At 39.9% G+C, this 2,066-nt stretch overlaps 1 annotated feature.

Moving 5' to 3' along the window:
- Nucleotides 624–825: a silencer, noted in NCBI's record as "fragment chr10:45839254-45839455 (GRCh37/hg19 assembly coordinates)". NCBI's record gives its function as "represses an EF-1alpha promoter that drives an FKBP-Casp9 reporter gene in an ReSE screen in K562 erythroleukemia cells {active_cell/tissue: K562}" and the evidence as "EXISTENCE:reporter gene assay evidence [ECO:0000049][PMID:32094911]".

The raw sequence follows: 2,066 nt of genomic DNA, 5'->3' as shown, positions 1-2,066 counted from the left end.
ATTTCCTTCAGTTCTGCTCTGATCTTAGTTATTTCTTGCCTTCTGCTAGCTTTTGAATGTGTTTGCTCTTGCTTCTCTATTTCTTTTCATTGTGATGTTAGGGTGTCAATTTTAGATCTTTCCTGCTTTCTCATGCGGGCATTTAGTGCTATAAATTTCCTTCTACATATTGCTTTGAATATGTCCCAGAGATTCTGGTATGTTGTGTGTTTGTTCTCATTGGTTTCAAAGAATATCTTTGTTTCTGCCTTCATTTCATTATGTACCCAGTAGTCATTCAGGAGCAGGTTGTTCAGTTTCCATGTAGTTGAGTGGTTTTGAGTGAGTTTCTTAGTCCTGAGTTCTAGTTTGATTGCACTGTGGTCTGAGAGATAGTTTGTTACAATTTCTGTTCTTTTACATTTGCTGAGGAGAGCTTTACTTCCAACTATGTGGTCAATTTTGGAATAGGTGTGGTGTGGTGCTAAAAAAAATGTATATTCTGTTGATTTGGGGTGGAGAGTTCTGTAGATGTCTATTAGGTCCGCTTGGTGCAGAGCTGAGTTCAATTCCTGGGTATCCTTGTTAACTTTCTGTCTCGTTGATCTGTCTAATGTTGACAGTGGGGTGTTAAAGTCTCCCATTATTATTGTGTGGGTGTCTAATTCTCTTTGTAGATCTCTAAGGACTTGCTTTATGAATCTGGGTGCCCCTGTACTGGGTGCATGTATGTTTAGTATAGTTAGCTCTTCTTGTTGAATTGATCCCTTTACCATTGTGTAATGGCCTTCTTTGTCTCTTTTGATCTTTGTTGGTTTAAAGTCTGTTTTATCAGAGACTAGGATTGCAACCCCTGCCTTTGTTTTCCATTTGCTTGGTAGATCTTCCTCCATCCCTTTATTTTGAACCTATGTGTGTCTCTGCATGTGAGATGGGTTTCCTGAATACAGCACACTGATGGGTCTTGACTCTTTATCCAGTTTTCCAGTCTGTGTCTTTTAACTGGAACATTTAGCCCATTTACTTTTAAGGTTAATATTGTTATGTGTGAATTTGATCCTGTCATTATGATGTTAGCTGGTTATTTTGCTAGTTAGTTGATGCAGTTTCTTCCTAGCATCGATGGTCTTTACAATGTGGCATGTTTTTGTGGTGGCTGGTATGGGTTGCCCCTTTCCATGTTTAGTGCTTCCTTCAGGAGCTCTTTTAGGGCAGGCCTGGTGGTGACAAAATCTCTCAGCATTTGCTTGTCTGTAAAGGATTTTATGTCTCCTTCATTTATGAAGCTTAGTTTGGTTGGATATGAAATTCTGGGTTGAAAATTCTTTTCTTTAAGAATGTTGAATATTGGCCCTCACTCTCTTCTGGCTTGTAGAGTTTCTGCCAAGACATGAGCTGTTAGTCTGATGGGCTTCCCTTTGTGGGTAACCTGACCTTTCTCTCTGGCTGCTCTCAACATTTTTTCCTTGATTTCAACTTTGGTGAATCTGACAATTATGTGTCTTGGAGTTGCTCCTCTCGAGGAGTATCTTTGTGGCATTCTCTGTAGTTCCTGAATTTGAATGTTGGGCTGCCTTGCTAGATTGGGGAAGTTCTCCTGGATAATATCCTGCAGAGTGTTTTCCAACTTGGTTCCATTCTCCCCGTCTCTTTCAGGTACACCAATTAGATGTAGATTTGGTCTTTTCACATAGTCCCATGTTTCTTGGAGGCTTTGTTCATTTTTTTTTTCTTTTTTCTCTAAACTTCTCTTCATGCTTCATTTCATTGATTTGATTTTCCATCCCCAATACCCTTTCTTCCAGTTGATTGAATCAGCTACTGAGGCTTGTGCATTCATCATGTAGTTCTCATGCCATGGTTTTCTGCTCCATCAGGTCATTTAAGGACTTCTCTGCATTGGTTATTCTAGTTAGCCATTCATCTAATTTTTTTTCAAGGTTTTTAACTGCTTTGCCATGGGTTCGGACTTCCTCCTTTAGCTCAGAGTAGTTTGATCATCTGAAGCCTTCTTCTCTCAACTCGTCAAAGTCATTCTCCATCCAGGTTTGTTCTGTTGCTGGTGAGGAGCCGTGTTCCTTTGGAGG

This window comes from Homo sapiens, chromosome 10 (genome assembly GCF_000001405.40).
Source record: "Homo sapiens chromosome 10, GRCh38.p14 Primary Assembly".
NCBI classification, from domain to species: domain Eukaryota; kingdom Metazoa; phylum Chordata; class Mammalia; order Primates; family Hominidae; genus Homo; species Homo sapiens.
This window is presented reverse-complemented; position numbering and strand designations above follow the sequence as displayed.